Below are 20,842 nucleotides of genomic sequence, written 5' to 3'. Positions count from 1 at the left end.
TTGGAAGGCTCTTTGGGCGAGATCATGTTTTCCTGAAAGACATGCAACGGTTACCCAAGAGCAGGGGAACCAGTGGGTGGGAGAGACTCACTTTTCTGTGTACTTCACGGTTGTTTGAATGTTTAGCCATGTGTATTATTGCTTTTAAACATGATTCACAAAGTAAAAAGAAACAAAAAGCATCCTTATGGTTGAAGATCTGAACTACCTCGGAATCTCTTTATTCAGGTGTTCCTTAACTCTAGGATGCAGGTTCCGTAGTGGGCGGACCTTCCAGCAACCAGAGTTTGGAGAAGCGAAGGGGACACTGGTGGATCTCCACCATGAAAATTGGCGCTTTGGGAATGTCCAAAATTTCCAGGGCAACCGTCCGTCGCCCCTCCCCGACCCCGCCTCCTTTTAAAGGAGAAACGGAGTCCCAAAGAGGCATGCAGCAAGGTGCAGCGGTAGCCCGGGTTTCCTTCGGCTTTTGCGGCCTTAGCATTATGTCTAGGTTTGAACTGTGTTCAGTCTCTTTTACCTCCCCCTATTCGATACGCAGAGCGAATTCGATTTGAGATCTGAGGGCAGACCCGAACCAGGAAAGCAACTCAGACGCTAGGGCCCCGAGGGGCGGAGCGAAGCGGTACCCGCCCCCTGGCGGCCGGAGCCAATCAGCGCGGGCGTTGAGCCGGCCAATTAGCGCGTGCAGGGGGCGGCCTGCCAATGAGCTCGGGGCCCCTCGGGAGGCGGAGCTCCGAGCGCCACCGGGAGGGCTACGCGGCGGCCGCAGCCATGGGTGCTGGGCCTGCGGGGGCGCGGGGGGTGCGCGAGGACCTGCGGGGCGGGGCGGGAGAGAAGGCTGCCGGGACCGGCCCTAGACACTGAGCCGCGGTGGGATCCCCACCGGCTCTGCGAGGCCCTGCGAGCGCCAGGGAGGCGCCACGAGGGAGCCGGGCAGCCGCGGGCCACTTCAGGGGGGCCCGCCTCGCCGCCCGGGCGGTCGAGAGATCCTTGGGGGCACATCTCGGGGTGCGGTGACCCGCCCGGCGCATTTCGGGGGTCGGGGCGCAATTGCCAGGGGACATCTGGAGCCCGGCCCTGCTTCTGTCGGGCTCCAGGGTACCCCTGGATGGCTGCGCTGTGCCCTCGCCGGCCGCCCGGGCGCCGCAGCGGCTGAGTTCGCCGGGATCGCCGGGCCGCCGCCCTTGCCACCCGCTGCATGCTCGGCGCCCGGGTCGCGGCCCACCTGGACGCACTGGGCCCCCTGGTCCCCTACGTGCCGCCGCCGCTGCTGCCCTCTATGTTCTACGTGGGCCTGTTCTTCGTCAATGTGCTGATCCTGTACTACGCCTTCCTCATGGAGTACATCGTCCTCAACGTGGGCCTCGTCTTCCTGCCCGAGGACATGGACCAGGCGCTCGTGGACCTCGGCGTGCTCTCCGACCCCGGCTCGGGCCTTTACGATGCTGACTCGGAGCTCGACGTCTTTGATGCGTACTTGGAGTAGGGTCTCGACTGCTGTTCCCCTCTTCCCTACACGATCCGCAACCCATGCCCTGGACCAGCCGCCCAGATCATGCCGCCGCAGCTGGTTGGGGGCACCATCTGGACGGGGATGGTTCCCCAGGAGGAGACCCTCCCCTGCCTCCGAGGCCTGTAAGTGCCCTCTCTGAACAGGATGAGGGCGGGTTGGGGCGCTAGCAAGGGAGAGGGAGGAATTCCCAGGCCGGATACACACCCCTCCCTCAGGCTTCTCCTCCGTTCACCTCCTCCAGGTCTAACTGGATGCCAGGAATGGCCAGACTCCTCTTAAGCCCTTCGTTTGGGCTGGAAAGCTTCCTCCAGCAAAGGGGACAGCTGGTGAAAAGGAAGGAGACCCCGAGACTAAGTTACATTTGGGGTAGCTCTGTGACTTACCCCCAAAGCTTATGGAAAAAGCCTTCGCTCCCAAATCCATTTGAGGCAGAGCTGTCAGCTCCTCCTCCAGTCCTCATCCTGGCTTGATGATGACCTTGGCTTTTGGGGGATTCTCGCTTGTCCTAGAAGGATAAAGATTTAGGGGTGTCAGAAGACACAGGGAGCCAGGCACGAATCACCTTTGTACTGTGGCCCTTGGGGTAGCTGGGTGGGGATTAAGTGCAGGGGCTCTAGGCCAAAGCTGTGAGAGGAGAAATCGCAAGCAAAGAAGCCCGTACTTCCTTTTGGCCTTGGGTTTGCTGCTATTTTGGAGTCAGGTTTCAGGGTGCCCCAGCTCATCAGTTCTGCAGCTCAGAACTGCAGGGGCTGCCAGTTTTGTAGGCTCCCTTCACAGAACAGGCAGGCAGGGAGCTGGTGCCAGGGCTCGCTTTGTCTGCAGTGTTTGCAAGCGCTCAGGGGGCTCTTAGGTCCTCGGGAGAAGGCACCACAGGGTCATTGCACTGAGATGGTCAAGTCCTGTCTTTGGGGCTGTGACGAGGGAGCTTTGCATCCAGCATCCAGCCCACTGTGTATGTGAGAGGTAGGGAAATGAAGGTCCAGGAAGGAGTAAGACTTGGTCATAGTCACAAGGAAGAGAGGCAGCTAGACTCAATTAGAGAGAACACGTGAGCCAGACAAGCTGTCAGGCAGCTGCCAGGTCTGGTGAGGGTCACAGGGCAGGCAGGAACGCCTTGGCTCAGCCCCTGAGACTGGACAGTACTGGAGTGTCACTGGGCACAGGGTCTAAGTGGCAATGAAGAGGGGATGCTGAGATATGGTGGGCAAGGGCTCCTTTAGGAAAATGGACACTAATGCCATTCACCGCAAGCAGGCTGAGTCCACCCCTCTCCTGCATTACCTGGCTTTGCCAAGACAACCACAGGCAGAGGGTGTCTTAGTTCAGTCTGCTATAACAGAACACCATAGGCTGGGGGACTTAAACATTTATCTCTTACTGTTCTTATAAGGGCATTAATCCCACCCATGAAGGCTCTGCCTTCGTGACCTAATCACCTCCCTAAGGCCGCACCCCGCAATACCATCATTTGGGATCAGAGTTTCAACATATGAAGTTTGAGGAGACACAAACATTGAGTCTGTTGCAGATGGTGGTACAGGGTGGGGTAGGACCTACTGACAGCATAGCTGGCGGCAGAGGGCTCTCCTAATGGGTTCACAGTGAGATTTCTTTGAAGAAAAAGCTTCAGTTGAGCTCAGTAACATCTTAGCGAGAACCAAGTGCCAGGGGGAGTGTGTGCCAGGTGCTCTGCACACCTCCCCAGCCTGCCTGCCTGCCTGCCATCCATCCGTCCGTTCTTTTACAGAATGAATGCTTGTTGGTTCAGTACAGTGCCTGGTGATTGAACACAGTGAACAAGACAGACCAAGCCTTGGCCCTTTGGCACTTGGTGAGGAAGACTAGTAGGAACCCAAACAAGAGAATCAGATTTTTTCGGAACTATGAAGGCAGGCAAGAAGGACATGAGCTTCCCTGTTGTGTTCACTGCCATGTCCTCAACACTTAAAACTGTGCCTGGCCTCTAGTAGACGGTCTCTGTAGGTGTAGACATGGAGTGAAACAGAAGTGAAACGGTAGGATAGAGATGGTGGGCTGCTTTAGCTGAGGGGTCAGAGAAAGCCTCTCTAAGGAGATGATGCTTTTGAGCTGAGCCTTAATTTGATAGAAGGATCTGGAGAAAAGCAGTCCAGGCTGAGGGAATCAGTGGTGCCAAGACCTTCAGGTGAGAGAGAGTTGGTTTTTCCGCAACCAAAAGGAGGCCCATGTGGCTGGAGAACAGCCCCAGGAAAGGTCAGTGAGGTGGGTGGGAGCCATACCATGGAGGACCTGGAAGGCCATAGCCAAGAGCAGTGGAAAGCCATTGGAAGGTTCTAGGCAGGAGATGACACAATCCCATTCCCATTTTGCAAAAATGACTCTGGCAATTGTGGACAGAATGAGCTGAGGGGTAAGAGGGGAAGCAGGGCCACCACCTCAGATGCTGTTAGTTGTCCAGGCCAGAGGTGACAGAGGCTTGGATGAGGGGAGTTTAGTGAAGATAGAGAAACATGAACAGACTGAGAACAACTCTCAAAAGTAGAACCTATGGAATCCATTCAAAATCTGTACTGAGCATTGATTGTATCGCACTCCTGTGTCTAGGCCCTTTGCATATGCACTCACTCATTCAACAGACTTTGACCCTGCCTGCTCTTCTGCCAGGCCGTGTGCTAAGGGCCTGCGATCCCAAGATAAATCCCTGTCTCCAAGCCAAGCATTTGACTTTGAAGCAGTGTAACTTGGTGAGGAACGTCTTATTTTATCTCTTTACCACATCAACAGAAACACTTCCCCTTCCAAATGAAAACATTGGCATATTCTGAACTAAAAACTGAATCCCAAATGCTTCGACATATTTTGCAGCAAACGCTGTTTAAGCAGAAACACCAGGAAATATCTCTCAGGGACACCCTTGCAAAGCTCTCGGGGTGTCAGGGCCTGACCCTGGGAAGTGGGGAGGCCTGGAGAAGTGGTGGAAGCCATGCACAGCCTTCCCTCCTCCCCACCCTCAAATCCAAGCCAAGGAGGCCTTGCCCCCAAGTGCCGAGGAAGCTCAGAACCCCAGGGTATGAGAGGGGTAGCTAGCAGCAGGGAAGCCGCCAGGAAAGACCTCAAGATGATCTGACCGAGCCTCATCTCCAGGCCCCTTTCCATAAGCAGGGGAACGCCGGTAGTCAGTCCTGCTCTTTCTCAGCCATTCTCATGTGGTCACATGTGTTCCCCACACGCCAATCCAGGAAACAGTGACTAAGGGCGTGGAGCATGTCACACAGTGGGGCCCAGGATGAATCTCAAGATGAACAGGTGCACCTACTTTTGCTCCCTCTTTTTTTTTTTTTTCTCTTATGTGTGGACCCACATAATTCAGTTCCTCAAACATTTGCTGAGCACCTACTTGAGGAGGCAGTATTAGGGTCATGGTTAAGAGCCAGGGCCCTGGGTTCACATCCCAGGGTAGCTGTGACCTTGGGCATGCTGCTTAACCTCCCTGTACTTTGGTTTCCTCTTCTAGAAGATGGAAATAATGAAAATCTCCCTTGTTGTGAGGATTAGGTGAGATATACATAAAGCACTTAGATCTCCTTGTATATAGTAAGAGATGTATTAATATTAACCACTCATATTCATAGTCGGATACAATGGAAAGCGTGTTATACCCATGCCCTTGCAAATGTACAAACCTGCACCTATACTCATGCATGAATATTTATATCCTGTGAGCAGAAGAGGACAGGCTGCCTGAGTGCCAGGGAGGTCCAGGTCTAGCCTAGCTGGGGGAGACTTCCCACTCTGCCTTCCCAGCCCCAGGACCCTTAGGAGAACTTTCTTGCTGCCCTGTGGTCCCCAGGGCACCAGAACCCTGGATAGCCGGCTCTGTGGTTTTCCTAGAGTGTTAATTGTTGCCCAGGAGCAGGGAATGGGGAATCGGGAGCTCCCTCCTTCCCAGGAGAAAGGGCTGCAGTGGCTGGCCTGGGAGCCAGGGAGAGTCTTCACGTCCCAGCAGTTCTGGTGCAGAGGCAGCTCAGTTGGATTATTCGTCCCGGTTCCTAATGAAAGTGAAAGCTGCTGGTACCTGCCAGCCCTCTCTTGGCACACAGCGAGCTGAAAATGCAGAGACTGGAGAACGTTGCCACCAGAGTCAGCTTGTCCTGGTGCAGCTCAGATTTGGAGCTGAGGGTTATCGATGCATTGGTCTATCTTATTCCAGGATTTCCTAGGCTTCAGTTATCTCCCAACTAGGAACCACAGCTGCTCCTTCCTAACCTGGTCCCTCCTTGCCAATCTGTGGCCTGTGCTATCAGCAGAACCCCTGTGCCGGACATAGAGCTGCCCAGGTCAGAAACCCAAACCTTCCACAGGGACACAGTCAGATTTGAGTTATGGGAGATCCCACAGCCAGGGGTCAGGGCGGATGCAGGAAACCAGGCCAGGAAGCTGTGGCTGTCATCTAAGCAAGAGACAGACAATGGTGACACAGGGAGGCAAGTATACCCCCAGGCCTGGCCACCTCTCCAGCTCTGCTCCTGACATGAGGCTCACCCAGAAGGTCCTTGGCCATAGGGTACATTGGTGCCAGCTGCGTCTTCAGACAGGAGAAAACCCCAGTATGTGTCTCAAGACAGTGAGATGTCAAGAGTCCTGCTCTCTTAGCCCTGAATTATACAAACTGGAGATTTCAGCCAAGAAACAGGCAGGGTCTGCCCCACTTACAGCTCATGTGTCTGTTTTGCCGAACTAAGAAAGTGAGGGCTTCTCTCAATTTGGATATTCATATTTCTGGTTTATCTGCTAGCTTTCCTCCCAGAACTTCTGAAAGCATACTCGGCTTTTGGGAAACCTAAGATCACAATAAAAGTGGCAGACCTCTTTATCCCTGTCTCACAAATAAATGGAGGCACAGAATGGGGAAGTGGAGGCCGAGGGAACAAAGCCAACTAAGACTGCCAGCCCGGTTCCCTGGCCACAGCACTGAGGGTTTGAGGGGTGCCTCCAGTGAGGGCTCCCCATCCCCGACCTTGGAACACCAGCTCATAGTTTCTGCCAGGCCTATTTCATACGCACTCTTCCAACTTTTTCCTGAATTAAAAACAAACAAACAAACAAAAACCTCTGTTATGAAGTAATTTCACACTTACAGAAAAGTTGCAAGAGCACAAACAATGCCCGCCCAAACTCACCAGTTGCACCAGTTAGCACTTTGCTCATGTACACGTGCATGCTCTTCCCTCTGTTTGTATATGCATGCCTGTGTATATGCACACATGTGTATATGTGTAATTTTCATAAGCATTTGAAAATGGGTTCATTATGCACCTTTACTCCTAAATAATTCAGTATTTATTTCCTTAGAACAAGGACAAATTTGCATAACCACAGTAGGGTTGTCAAAATCAGCAAATCTAATATTGATACACTATACAATCCTATGACCAATCTCATCTACAACTTTATTCAAATTTTATAGAGGCTGAGGTGGAAGGATCACTTGAGTTTGAAACCAGCCTGGGCAACATAGTGAGACCCCGTCTCTACAAAAAGTAGGAAAAAAAAAATAGCGAGGTGTTGTGGTACACGCCCATAGTCCCAGTTACTCGGAAGGCTCAGGCAGGAGGATTGCTTGAGTCCGGGAGTTCAAGGCTGCAGTGAGTTATTATTCCACCACTGCACTCCAGCCTGGGTGACTGAGCGAGACCCTGTCTCAAAACGAAAAAAAAAAAAAATTGTCCCAGTAGTGTCCCTTAACAATAAAAAGGGGAGAGTTGAGGTCCAAGATGCAATCCCAGATCAGCTTTTGCATTAATCTCGAGCCTTCTTCAGTCTGGATCAGCTCTTCAGTCTGTCTTTCTCTCTTGTGACATTGACATATTAAGCAGAGTACAAGGCTGGTGTTTTGTAAACTGTCTCTCAATTTGGGTTTGTCTGATGGTTATACTCGAGATTAGATTCAGATGAGGCATTCTTGGCAGGAATATTGCAGAAGTGAGTGTGTGTCTTCAGTGCATCTTATCGAGAGGCACATGCCATCTGTCCCCTTTCTGGCGATGTTAACTTTGATCAGTTGGTGAAGGTGGTGTCTGCCAGGTCTCTCCACTGTCAAGTTACTATTATTCCCTTTATAATTTGCAGTTTAAGATGAAATGCACTAGTTTTAGTGCTTCATCTGTAAAACTACTTTTTTATGTGAATTTATTTTTTAAAAAATGTCTGTCACTAAAGAGAAAATCATCATCGCTTGGCATGGATAAAAACACTAACTGCCAAAGTCATTAACTTTTGGCCAAATACCAAAGCCAGCTAAAGTCACAGGGCCTTGGCCTGTATTCTTTGTTAAAAAGAGATTAACAACTGTCGGGTGATAAACATAAGATATACCAGCACCAAACTGAACTTTCTCCTCTAAATAATCATAAGGATTGACCAAAAACTGAAAAGCAAATTGCTTGCTCACTATATGTGATTCCTTGTTACTTAGGGTCACCTCCGTATACCCTCTAAAATTGTTACTTACATGCTTTGCAGTTGGACATATTTTGGTTTAAATCCCAGCTCCACCAACACCTCAGACTTCATCTCCTAAGCCTCGGTTTCCTTCTCTGTAAAACAGGGATAATAGTAGCACCTGCCTAAGGGCTTGTGCAAATTAGATTGGGATAGTGAATGATGTATAGTTGGTGCTTGCTTAATGAATGACGTGGTCAGTGTCAATGGCGTGTCAGACCCTGAAGGGGCTCTAGCCCAGGAAGCCTTCCCCCTTTCCTTGGGTGCCCTTCCTCCTGAGGACTGGTTACCAAGGAGGGTGTGTCTGTGTGGGCAGCCTTTGAAGTAGCCCAAGGGCGGTGATAATTGGTACCCAGCGAGTCCCCAGATGGTGCTGGTGCCCTCACAGCTGCCATCCCAGGCCCCAAGCTTGGAGTGGCGGGGAACTCCCTCAAGGGTAAGGCTTCATTTCTGGGAGTCCCTCCTGGCAAGGGGCTTGGCTGGGTGGTTAAAAATAACTGCCTCTCCCACATCTCCATCACCTGCCCCAAGCATCACCCTGTGAAGCCGCCAAGGAGGGTTCCATTAGACCAGGGAGGAAACTGAGGCTTGCAGAAGTTCGATGACTCATCTCAGATACCCATCTATGAGGTGGCAGCATTGGGCTCCTGGCCACGCTGTCCTGATGTTTCCCCCAGTGAGGTGGTCTGCTGGAGGCGTCCCAGGGCGGTAGTGAATACGCAGCAGCGGATCAGATCAGCTCTCAGGGCCCCGACACCCCCTGAGCACCTACTGCTTTGCCCTTTTAACTGGCACAAGGCTCAGTTATACAGGCCAAGGGTATCAAGCTAGACTTCCTGGTTCCATTTTCATTGTATTTTTAGCATTGCCTTCTGTGTATGACAAATTCTACTGCTTTGGGTGTTATATGGTGACATAAATGATCTTATTAAAAAATTGGAGTTTAAAAAGTACATTGGTTTAAAATACTAAGTAAATAATAGTCCAGGTGGTTCTTGGATGTGGCAGGACCTGGAGGGAGGCACTGGGCAAGTGCTGCCCTTCCAGAGGGCTCAGGGAGTCTTGGGCGTGACCAGCTGGAGGCACGTGGTAGACCAGGCATCTTCACAAAGCCCGCTGCTGATCAGCTTTGGCAGCCAACGTGCAAATCCGAAGCCAGGTTTGAGAAAGTGGTCATCATTTCTCTGTGACGTTGGCTTTCCTCAGGGACATGGACCTGTGCAGAGACAGGCAGCTTCTCCTTTGCCGTCTGTCTCCTTCCGGCCACCAGGAGACAGCCAGACCCCAGCCATGCCTTCATTCTGAGATAAGGTAGAGACCCTCCTGCCACATAGCCTGTCACCAGCGTGGAGGATCAGAATGGCTGCGTGAGTAGGGGAGGGTGACGTCTGTCTTTAGCCACTTTAATTGATTTTTTGGTACATGGAGAAAGGAATGAGCAATGGGTTTCTAGAAGGCAAGGTCTTTGAAGGAGGAAAAGTGCTGCTGCTTTCAGAAGGCCCCTAGCCTTGAGAAGGTTCCCTGCCGGTATTGGTTTCTACCTGGGAACAGGTGGGGCTAAGGAGGGAAGGAACCACCCTGTACTGATGTCTCGTGTGTGCTGGGTATTGTCAGGCACTCCATGGACACAAACAGCCCAATGTGGTGGGCACTGTCCCCTTTTCCAGATGAGGAAACTGGCCCAGAGAGGGTGGGTGACTTGTCTGAGGTCACACAGCCAGGAAGGGGCAGAACCACAATCAGCACAGACAGGCTAAATGCAGATCTCACAGCATTTGCCCTGAGGAGCAGGACAGCGGGCAGCTGAACTCTAGGAAAGAATTCCCTTCTACCACTTTCAGAGCCTCACCCACCAGTGCGCGTAAAACGCCAGGGCCATCTTCTTACTTAAGCCACATCCTGAACCAGGCAGCTTCTCTGCAGAGTTACTGAGCTAAGACATTGCTTCACGAAGGGGATCTAGCACCCAACTGTCATTCTGACTACAGAAACCAGCCAGCCAGCCACGTCCTCTGTCCAGCTCTGGGGAATGGCTGGAATGAAAGGTTACAGTTTCAGAAAGGGGGAAAAAAATCTAGTGGCTGATAACTTGTCTGCTGTGCTCTGATGATGTCAGAAGGTTGGAGAACCTGCTGCCCTGGGTTCTATAAGCTCCAGCTCTGGGGTGCTTTTCAGCCTGGGGCTCTTGATGCCTTAGAAGAAACTTGTTCAATCCGTGGTGCGGCCTGTAGGCTGCATACAGCTCAGGACGGCTTTGACTGTGGCCCAACACAGATTCATAAACTTTCTTAAAACGTTATGAGATTTTAGCCTGGCCAACATGGTGAAACCCCATCTCTACTAAAAAATACATCAATTAGCCAGGCATGGTGACATGCGCCTGTAGTCCCAGCTACTCAGGAGGCTGAGGCATGAGAATTGCTTGAACCTGGAACTGCAGTGAGCCAAGATCATGCCACTGCCCTCCAGCCTGGGTGACAAAGCAAGACCCTGTCTCAAAAAAAAAAAAAAAAAAAGAATTTTTTTTTTGGTTTGTGTTTTTTTGTGTGTGTGTGTGTGATTTTGTTTTATTTTTTAGCTCATGAGCTATCATTAGTATATTTTATATGTGGCCCCAGACAGTTCTTCCACTGTGGCCCAGGGAAGCCAAAAGATTGGATACCCCCATCTCAGAGAAAAGGGACGAACCTGCAGTGCCGAGTGGTTTCGGCTTTGGGGTCAGGCCACGGGGGTTCAAATCCTGGCTCTGCCATTTATGAGCTGTGTGGCCTTGCACGGCTTGCTTAACCTCTCTGAGCTCCATGTGAAATGCAGGGATGATGGTCCTACTTGGCCCTACCTCCTAGAGTTGTTTTTGAGGGATAAGTGAGTTAAGACATGAGTTCGAGTAGTACAAGGTGAACACAAAGTAAATGCTTCATAACACAAGTGTTGTCACGATTTTCATTTAGCGTTTGCCAAGGCTGCCATTGCAAGACACAGGAGCGAAGGGGTTGATCTCTAATAGCCAAAGTGTGTGACAAATGAGAATTGAACTGTGTCCCAGAACATCCTCCCGCCCTACACATAGAAACCTGGGGTCACCTCCCTGTCCTCGACTCACTGTGTGACTTCAGGCAGAGGTCACCACCCTCTCTGGGCCCTTTCATTCTCTGCTATGGACTGAGTGGGACCAGCTTGGATCAAAATCCTCAAACCTCATACAACACTGTCAGCAGCTTTTCCTGTATCTGCCTGTTACCTGAACTATTAACAGTTTTCTTTAAATTGGCTCCTTTTAAAGTAAAATGTTTTGAAAAGAGAAACTTTTGTGTTTTTTTGAGACAGAGTCTCACTCTGTCACCTAGGCTATAGTGCAGTGGCGTGATCTCGGCTCACTGCAACCTCTGCCTCCCTAGCTCAAGCGATTCTTCTGCCTCAGCCTCCCGAGTAGCTGGGACCTCAGGCACCTGCCACCATGCCCAGCGAATTTTGTATTTTTGTTTGTTTGTTTTTAGTAGAGACGCGGTTTCGCCATGTTGGCCAGGCTAGTCTTGACCTCATTTCGCCATGTTGGCCAGGCTGGTCTCAAACTCCTGATCTCAACTGATCCACCCACCTTAGCCTCCCAAAGTGTTGGGATTACAGGTGTGAGCGACTTGGAAAAGAAAAACTATATTACTACCAGAAATGGAAACTTGGCATCACTTGCTATAAATAGAAGGTAACCCTACAGATAAACACAATGAAAACCGGAGTGTTAGTAAATTCCACGTGTAGCCCATTCAGACTGGAGATCTGCACACAAGAGGGCAGCTACAGCCAGACTAGCGCCTGGCTGGGACTGTCGGGGATGCGGTTTGTGGTCACAGGACTGGGAGAGGAGTGAGGTCCTCACCGAGTGATTCCATCTTCTCTTTTTTTTGAGACAGGGTCTCTGTCACCCAGGCTGGGTGCAGGGGCACAGTCATAGTTCACTGCAGCCTTGAACTGCTGGGCTCACGCAATCCTCCTGCCTCAGCCTTCCAAGTAGCTGAGACTACACTATGCCTGGCTAATTTTTAAATTTTTTATAGAGACAGTCTCACTGTGTTGCCCAGGCTGGTCTCAAACTCCTGGCCTCAAGTGATCCTCCCACCCCAGCCTCCCAAAGTGCTGGGATTACAAGCATGAACCACTCTATCCAGCTGATTCCATGTTCTCTAACACCCTATCCACACAAATCTGAGATGGGCTCAAGGATGACCACAGGCCTTGGAGATCTCTGCAGTGAGCATCTGTGCGGCTGAATCTGAGTAAAGGATTCTGCTTCAGGCTGCTGGCCAGCAGGTGTCTCAGGAGCAGGCTGGTGGAGGGCAGCTATGGAGAGACATTAGCTCTGCCTGCACTTACAGCCTGAGGACCAAGCAGGCTCTGGAGGCAGAGAAAGGCCTCAGCAAAGAAGGGCAGGTCGACCTGCAAGGAAGAGTGAGTGGAGGGAATGGGGCGGGGCACCCACAGCCTCTGCTAAGGTCTCATGGCACTTAGCAGGGTCCTCAGCGTCTGCTAAGAGCTCAGGAAATGGTACCTGCTCTCATTCAGACCGTTTCCATCGTTATTACCAAGCCAGTGCCAGCTTTGCCTCTCATAGCTGTGCATCTTTAGGCAGGTTACTTGGCTTCTCTGAACCTCAATTTCTTATCCTATTAAATGATAAGAACCTCAGTTTCTTATCCTATACGATGCATGGGTCTCAATGGAAACAGTTCCGCCCCCTTAGGTCGACCTTGGAAATAGGGTAGGAGGGCATTTTTAGTTGTTCCAGTGGCCAGGGGTGCTACTGGCATTTAGTGGCCTGGAGCCAGAGATGCTGCTAAATGCTCAGTGCCCAGAACAGCCACCCCACCTCCAAGAATTGTCCTACCCCAAATGTCAATAGCACCCTGTCAAACAACAATACATGTCACATGTTTAACATACAAGTTCTGCGAGATGTTCAGTGAAGTTTGCGGAAAGGATAGTGAGCTGGGAGATGAGGCTTGGAATCAGAGCAGGGCTTGAGGGGGCTGCAGAGGGGTTGGGCATGGGAACACGAGGTGCTACAGAGACACTGGCACCCGGCTAGGCACACAGAGAAGGCAGTGGGAAACGGGGACGTGCCAGGGGGCCAGGCCATGGAGATGATGCTGCATCCTGGGAGAAAGAGCCAAGTGGGGCTGCTGAGTAACTTGGCTGTGGCTATTGCCTTCCTGTAGGTTGCAAAGCATTTTTCCGGGCAAGGTGGAAGGTGTTGCCAAGCCCTGCCCACTACCCAGCGCTGGCTCAGCTGGCCCAGAGCTGCAAGTCAGCCCTCAGACCCTGGGTGACTCCTGAGCAGGCTGCACCAGCATCCCCCTCCTCCCTCCCAATAAACAGGACAGTCCTTCCTCTCCCGTGTGACATTGCACTGGTTCTCCAGCCCAGGGTCTCTGAGAAATTAGGCAAATTCATTAAAAAGAGTTTTATATTTGCAGAAAGACATTTTCAGCCTGAGTCTGGGGCTCCCAGTGGTTCCCTAAATTTGAGGGATGGAGGAAGACTTCCCTGCCCCACCCCAAGCCTCCCGAGCCTGGTGGATTGGTCCCTGTCCCCAGCCAACCTGGTGGCAGGGTGGGGCTTCCGTGCTAATAACCCCCCTTTTTCCTTCTTGTTAGACCTGCTCCCCTCAAAAGCTTCGTGCCAACAGAGAGGTTCCTGTTTGAACCCAGGAGAGTGGAAGAGAGATTGGGACTGAGTGCTGAGGTTGGGAAGGCACCTGCTCCCACAGAAGGGGGAACGCAAGAGGCATCCCAAGACCTCATCTGCCTGCAGTGTCAAATCGATGGCCTGGCCTTGGCTTCTGATTATTTGCAGCTGCGATGGATGTTTACAGGAACCCAGCCAGAGTTTGCCTCCCTGCACTTCATCCCGGAGCGCACCTGCTTCCCCCACTTCACCTTCGGAGAGGACACTTCAAACTGCGGACACACGCAAAAGCGACTCCCAGCTCCGTTTGATGTGAGTTGAGCCTTCAGGCCAGCTGGGTTTAGCCCGAGGCTGGTCTTAGATGCAGCGACTGTTTCAGGGGTGACTCAGAAGAAAAAGAAGCTGAGGAAGCTGTTGGGGGGCTGAGGGTGGGATTCTCGCTCCTTCATTTCAGGTTACTCGTTCTTCAGCAAGTTGGCAAAACAGACATCATGCTGGTGAGTGCCACGTTACTCCCCTGGCTGGAAATGCTTTTCTGAAAGTATGAGTGTTGTGCCTACTTAATTCTGATAAACCTGTCTAAGCAATACTTAGGAGGCTTACTTCTTTGGATTAAAAAAAAATGTATGCAACTCCAACCCCTGGGGCCCTGCCTTTTTTTTTAACTTTGAGATTCGGGAAAGGAGTTCTAGGCAGAACCTTGTGGCTGACAAACAGCAGAAGATCCAGTGGGGTTGAGAGAGTCTGCCCCAGTCGGGCTGGCGTGAAAGTCCCAGGCTGGCCCCCTGCCCCACTCCACAAGCCAGGGACAGCATTTGGGGTGTGGTGGGAAAAGCCTGAAGGCCAAGCTGGAAACCAGGCCTGAATCCCATAGAAGTGGGGGTGGGTATCCCCTGTGTCAGGCACATGGTAGACCTTCATTAAAGATAGGGGGGAAGGGCTTGGCATGGTGGCTCATGCCTGTAATCCCAGCACTTTGGAAGGCCGAGGCGGGCAGATCACTTGAGGTTAGGAGTTCGAGACCAGCCTGGCCACCACGGTGAAACCCCATCTCTACTAAAAATACAAAAAAATTAGCCAGGCATAGTGGCGCACACTTATAGTCCCAGCTACTCGGGAGGCTGAGGCAGGAGAATTGCTTGAAACCAGGGAGGCAGAGGTTGCAGTGAGTTGAGATCATGCCACTGCATTCCAGCCTGGGCAACAGAGCAAGAGAGGGATTAAATGAGTGGAATTGGGAGCTTGTAGTTTCACGGAATACAAGCAGTAATTCTCTCCAGTTTGCAGAGCACTTGATTTCAAAGCACCTTCACATACACACCAAGTGAAGCAGGGTTCAAACGATTGACCCCTTTCTACAGGCGAGGAGACTGAGGTGTGGGAGAGTACAGGCGGCAGAACTCTGGGGGGAGACAGTTGGAGCACCACTTGCCCTCAAGTGATGCTAAAGAAAGAAAAGCTACGAAATCTGAAAAGAAGACATTTGAGAGCCCCAGGGAAAAAGGTGAGCGTCAGGAGGGAGACATTTGTATGCAGAGAGAGGCCTGCGAGGAAGAGTGACCATTTGGAAGGTGCGTGGACTTACAATCCACTGGACATGGAATTGCACTATCATGCCCTGATTCCTCCGAGCAGCGCTTTACCACCTGACAAATGGGGTTCAGGGGCACTTCCGGCACACTGTGCCTGTCCCTGCAGAGAGGTCCTCCAAAGAAGTCAGAAGTCCATTCCTTTATAGGAGTGTGACTATAAGTATCACTTAGATCTGTGACACGGAGACAGTAATTTATCCACATCTTACGATGACTGTGCGTTAACTACGAAAAGATGCCCCTCTGGGTTAAAAGGCTCCACACCAGGACTCCCAGTTTGGCAAGCAGAACCCAGACTGGTTTGCAGCCCCCATGTTCCCCCTTGTCCCAGGTGCCTTTGTGCAGTGTACAGACTGGCCAACCTCACCTGGCAGCCCTGTCCAAAGAGTTTTTTTAATTTGCTAAAATATAAGACTCACCAGGGCAGGAACATCTTATTCATGACTGTGCTGTCAGTATGTATTTGCAGAATGAATGAAACCGTTAGGTGAGGATTATTTGTTCATTTTATGTTATTGAGCACCTATTATACACAGGCGCCTTGCTGGGTACAGAGGGCACAGCAGTGTACAAAGCGAGATGTTTCCCGCCCTCCTGGAGCTCATGTCCTAGGACAAGAGCAGACTGCATAAATAAGTGAAAAAGATAAAACTAGTGATGGGGTTGGAGAATGGGGCAAGTCCCGAAGGATGAGAAATCAGCCATATGGAGAGCTGGGAAGAACATTCCAGCCAGAGGCAAGAATGAAACACAGATATATGTAATAATGACAGCCAACATGTTATTGAGCTCCAATTCTTAACGTATTAGCTCACCACACCTTCACATAATCCTATAAAGAAGGTGCTGTGGTTATGCCCATTTTACAAATGAGGAGACTGAGGCACAGAGAACTAGCTTGCATAAGTAAGTGGTGAGGTGGGCGTTGAGCCCAGGCAATCTCGTTCTAGAGTCTCTGCCACTTGCCCCTAGACTCTTATCCCTCTTGAGTAGGAGTTTAGCACAGTGTCTGGCACACAGTCATCACTTATTGAGCTAATACTTTCTGAGCGCTTTGAATTTCCCTTGCACTGTGATAAGGGCTTTGCATGTATCTGCTCATTAAATAAACAGTAGTGGCCGGGTGCGGTGGCTCACCCCTGTAATCCCAGCACTTTGGGAGGCCAAGGCAGGCAGATTACCAGCCTGGCCAACATGGTGAAACTCCATCTCTACTAAAAATACAAAAATTAGCCAGGCGTGGTGGTGCATGCCTGTAATCCCAGCTACTTGGGAGGCTGAGGTGGGAGAATTGCTTGAACCCAGGAGGCAGAGGTTGCAGTGAGCCGAGATCATGCCACTGCACTCCAGCGTGGGCAATAAGAGTGAAAACTCTGTCTCAAAAAAATTAAATAAAATAATAAACAGTAGCTATCATTAACAAATCGTTAGTGTTAATAACTGCAGGCTCTGACCTCATTTCATCATCACACAGACCAAAAGCAGTGGGTCAGACCAAAAACCTGGCACATGGCACAGTGGATGATCAGAGCACACCTTAGTGCTCACTCCTGTAGGCGCACACACAGGAGGCCCATGGCCTCTGTAGAGTCTGCAAGTGCAGGGATCCCTTGCAGGGTGACACCTGAGCTATTTACAAGCTGAACCTGGATGGCAGCACCTGATACCCTTTGCAGCCAGTTCGAGGCAGGAGGTGCTTGCCTGTCTGCAAAGATCATCAACCACGCAGCCGGGTCTGGATTCCTCAGACCCTCTTGACACCCAGCTCTCACTTGCTGGGGAGAGGAGCAGAGCTTGGGAATCAGACTGATCCTGTGGGCACTGGGGCTGGTGAGCTGGAGCTGAACAGGCAGCTCCCACTGCCACCAGGAGTAAGCTAAGATGTCTTGAATTGGGGCTTCTGAGCAGACTATGCCCGAGTGAAAAGCAACAGTCGTGCCGGCAGCTCGCTGGGTAGAAAGCGGAGCTTCCAAGTCCCTTTCGGACTCCCTGCAGCCAAGGTGGGACTCCGTCTCCGCTAAAAACCAGCTCACTCCCAGGACAGAGCTGTGTGTCAGAGGCAGAGGCAAACATTCCCCTTGGTAAGCTTTTGGTGCTTCAACCTTTCTCATCCCCAAACAATTAATTTTCCACTGAATTTTAGGAAGCCACAAAGAAAAGTCCTCTCAGAAAAGAGGACTTGAGCCAAGGTGGGCTCTGGTGTGTGCACGCGTGTGTGTGTATGTGTGTGTACGTGCACACACGTGCATGTGCACATGTGGTGAAAGGAGGGTGGGTAGGACAGTAGCAATCCTTGTCACACTGGCCAACAGAATATGGCAGAAGTGGGCTGGGTGTGGTGGTTCACACCTGTAATCCCAGCACTTTGGGAGGCTGAGGCAGGAGAATCACTTGAGGCCAGGAGTTCAAGACCTGCCTGGGCAACATAGTGAGACCCTGGCTCTACAAAAATAAAACTAAAGATTAACTGGGCTTGGTGACTCACACCTGTAGTCCCAGCTATTCGGGAGGCTGAGGTGGGAGGATCACTTAGCCCAGGAGGTTGAGGCTGCAGTGAGCCGTGATCATACCACTGCATTCCAGACTGGGCGACAGAGTGAGACCCTGCCTCTTAAAACATATATATGTAGCAGAAGTAATACTGTGTGACTTCTAAGGCTAGGTTATGAAAAGTGGTCTCTCTCTATCCCCTCCTTTCTTTTTGGGACACCCTCCAACCCAGCCACCATACTATGAGGAAGCCCAACTAGCCCACATGGAGGGGTCCTAGCCAACTATTCCGTAGTGGCACTGAGGCCCCCAGCCAACAGCCAGCATTGCCTGTCAGACGTACAGAAGAATGAGTCTTCAGGTGACACCAGCCCAACCCTCAAGCTGCCCCACCTGACACAGAGTAGGACAGAAGGAGCTGTCCCCGCTGAGCCCTGCTCAAATGACAGATATGTGAGCAGAATAAATGTGAGTGTTGTTTTAAGCCACTATGATTTGGGGTGGCTTGTTACATATTAGATAACCAGAGCAGTGGGTACCCCAAAATGGTAACAGGGTATGAACTCAAACCCTGGACCTGCCTGTGACATTAAAGAGACATTTATAATGTAGTGAAAAAAGACACAGGAAATGAAGCTGTGCTTCCAGTCTGTTCCCCTCTCACCGCCCCATTAGTGTCCCATTAGCTGTTTCCCTGCTAAGGGCTGGTGCATCTGGCCAGGCCTAGCTTTGGCTTTGGCCAACAATGTCAGTGCATTGAGTCCCATAGACAAAAGCAGCTGCCACTGAAGCCCAGCCTGTTGCAATCTGGGGAATTAGCAGGCTGGGGGTTGCCCATCAGTGTCTTCTGAGTGCCCGGTGTGCCCTGTCAAGGTGTCTGGTCGGAGAGCAGGGTGGAGAAGTACTTTCTCTGTGGCCCGGTGCAGTGGCTCACGCTTGTAATCCCAGCACTTTGGGAGGCTGAGGTGGGTGGATCACCTGAGGTCAAGAGTTTGAGACCAGCCTGGCCAACATGGCAAAACCCTGTCTCTACTAAAAATGAAAAATTAGCCAGACATGATGGTGGGTGCCTGTAGTCCCAGCTACTCGGGAGGCTGAAGCAGAAGAATCGCTTGAACCCAAGAGGCGGAGGTTGCAGTGAACCCAGATCGCACCACTGCACGCCAGCCTGGGCAACAGTGAGACTCTGTCTAAAAATAAAAAAAAAGAAGTACTTTCTCCCCAGGGTGGCAGGGGCCTGGGCAGGCAGAATGGGGCTGCCTCTGTCACTCCCTCTGGCCTGGCCGTGGCTGTCCGCAATGTCCTTCAGAGAAGGCCTCGGGGCTCCTGGGTGGACCGCAGCTGCCACCAGGCATCCACCCAACTGGGCGCTAAAGGAGCCTGGAGCCGGGCCTGTGTCTGTCAGCAGAGCAAGATGTGGTTCATTCCGCAGCCGGGCAGGGGCCAACCCTGAACCAGCAGGGGCCGGGTGCCAGGATGCTGAGGCTCATGGGATACAGCCTGGAGAAGAGCTGTGTCCACAAGTACCCAGTTCAAGGTCCAGCGTGGTTAGTGTCCTCAGAGAACATGCTGTAGCGGGAGGAGCCAGGAGAGGGGGTTTAGGCAGGACACTCTAGGAGGGGCAGCTTGACACCTGGGAAGGGTGCTATCAAGATGGGGGGATGGGAGGGGCAGTGGAATGGAGGTGGACGTGCAGCACAGTGCGGGGAGCACAGGGCTGGGGGACAGTGATCTTCATAGTGAGGAGCAGGAGACTTGTCAAGCAAGTTCATCTGAGACAAACCCGGAGCATCAGGGCAGCCACCAAGCCGAAACAGCAGCTGGGAAGGCTTGGAGTCCCCAAAGGAAGCTCTTCCAAGCACTGAGGCTGTGGGATGTGGATGGCCAACTTTCCTGTCCCCTGATCTCTAAGCCTGACCACAGGGACCAAGCTCGCAAAGCCTGGAGGACAGCTCCACCGAGCCCAGGGTGGAGATGAGGGGATGTCTCTGATGACGCATGCGTCCAAGGGTGGTGGCCTAGCCCCACCTGTGTCCCGCCCACATTTTTTGAATGCCACCTTCACAAGGACACTGCCCCCAACCCACTGCGGCTCTCCCCTCCCAAGCCCACCCTGGTTACCCTGTCCAGAGCACAGCTGGGATCATCTCAGGCTGATCCGTGAATCCTGTTGTTGCAGGTGTTCCTGGACACTGAATGGGATGGTGGGCGTCCACATCCTGCAAGGGGGGATGGGACTCAGAGCCAGGTTAGAGGAGAGAGGGCGGCCTGGGGCCCCAGTGACAGCTGCCCCCAAATCCCTCCTTCCACCCAGCCTAGAACGTTGGGGACTTTTCCCCTGGCAAGATACCGACCGGTGTGGGTCATGGGGAAAAGGAGAAGCCTAGGAGGCCCGAGATTCCTTTATGGTTCTGCAGCTGACTTGCTGTGTGACCCCAGAAAGGTTAGTTAACTGCTCTGTGCTTTATTTTCCTCATCTGTAAAATGGGTCTTGTAAGACCCACCCTGTGCGTCTTAGAAGAGGTGAGTGATTGTGGAGATAAAAGTGCTTTGAAAGAATATAAAGTAACCAGTATTGGACATCATGGTGACTTAATAAAAGATAAACCTGAACCATATGAAATTGCCAATTTTACAGGTCAAAAATGGGTGGATGTCAGCAATTTCATATGGTTCAGCCTAATATAGCATTTATTGGCATTTTTGTGTGCCAGCTACTGTTGTTATAAGAGCTTTGTAGGGCTTGATTAGTTTAAGCCTCACAAAACCTCTTGGGTGGATATTATTACTGTCCCCACTTTACAGATGAAGAAGCTGAAGCCAGAGGGGGAAGTGTCTGCTCACCCAGGGTTGCAGATTGGTGAAGGGAAGAGCATGATTTGAGCTCCGGGGTCACACTGGGCCACACGCCTGGGGAGTGAGTTGTTCTCCACCCACCAGGGTTGCCTGGACTTACGCCAGCGTCTCCACATGAGGACACCTCCGAAGGCTGGCAGCGAGCTGCTGGGCCCCGGCAGCCGTGAACTTGTTGTACTGGACGCTGGCAAGAGAAACTCACCTTGGGGCCTGGCCCTTGGGACTC

General features: G+C 51.7%; 2 protein-coding genes across 30 annotated transcripts in view, besides 2 other annotated features; one reads left to right on the top strand and one right to left on the bottom strand.

The window, feature by feature from the left end:
- The window catches only part of CIITA (class II major histocompatibility complex transactivator), a 76,816-nt gene continuing 56,159 nt past the window's right edge, over positions 186 to 20,842 (bottom strand). For 12 of the 29 annotated variants that reach the window (NR_104444.2, XM_011522484.4, XM_047434123.1 and 9 more), the window contains 3 exons: positions 20,717 to 20,800; positions 19,882 to 19,979; positions 6,813 to 19,329 (listed from right to left, as the gene is read on the bottom strand). Coding sequence is in view for 26 of the 29 variants with exons in the window: in XM_011522484.4 (XP_011520786.1) it covers positions 19,904 to 19,979; positions 20,717 to 20,800 (160 nt within the window). In the remaining 3 variants the exon portion in view is untranslated. Of the gene's footprint in view, positions 2,022 to 5,085; positions 6,575 to 6,812; positions 19,330 to 19,881; positions 19,980 to 20,716; positions 20,801 to 20,842 lie in introns of those variants that run through there. The other 17 variants (XM_006720880.4, XM_047434114.1, NM_001379332.1 and 14 more) reach the window with 5 other exon arrangements.
- Positions 600 to 1,149: a silencer, noted in NCBI's record as "silent region_7195". NCBI's record gives its function as "represses an Ori minimal core promoter by ATAC-STARR-seq in GM12878 lymphoblastoid cells {active_cell/tissue: GM12878}" and the evidence as "EXISTENCE:reporter gene assay evidence [ECO:0000049][PMID:35858748]".
- DEXI (Dexi homolog) lies at positions 739 to 14,316 on the top strand. Its single transcript, NM_014015.4, has 2 exons — positions 739 to 1,638; positions 13,648 to 14,316. Exon 1 carries the CDS (start codon positions 1,202 to 1,204, stop codon positions 1,487 to 1,489), a length of 288 nt encoding a protein of 95 aa, NP_054734.2. The 5' UTR covers positions 739 to 1,201; the 3' UTR covers positions 1,490 to 1,638; positions 13,648 to 14,316.
- Positions 12,535 to 12,584: an enhancer, noted in NCBI's record as "active region_10401". NCBI's record gives its function as "activates an Ori minimal core promoter by ATAC-STARR-seq in GM12878 lymphoblastoid cells {active_cell/tissue: GM12878}" and the evidence as "EXISTENCE:reporter gene assay evidence [ECO:0000049][PMID:35858748]".

Source organism: Homo sapiens, chromosome 16, assembly GCF_000001405.40.
Source record: "Homo sapiens chromosome 16, GRCh38.p14 Primary Assembly".
Taxonomy (NCBI): Eukaryota; Metazoa; Chordata; class Mammalia; order Primates; family Hominidae; genus Homo; species Homo sapiens.
The sequence above is the reverse complement of the archived record's forward strand: the minus strand, read 5'-3'. Positions and strand labels throughout refer to the sequence as shown.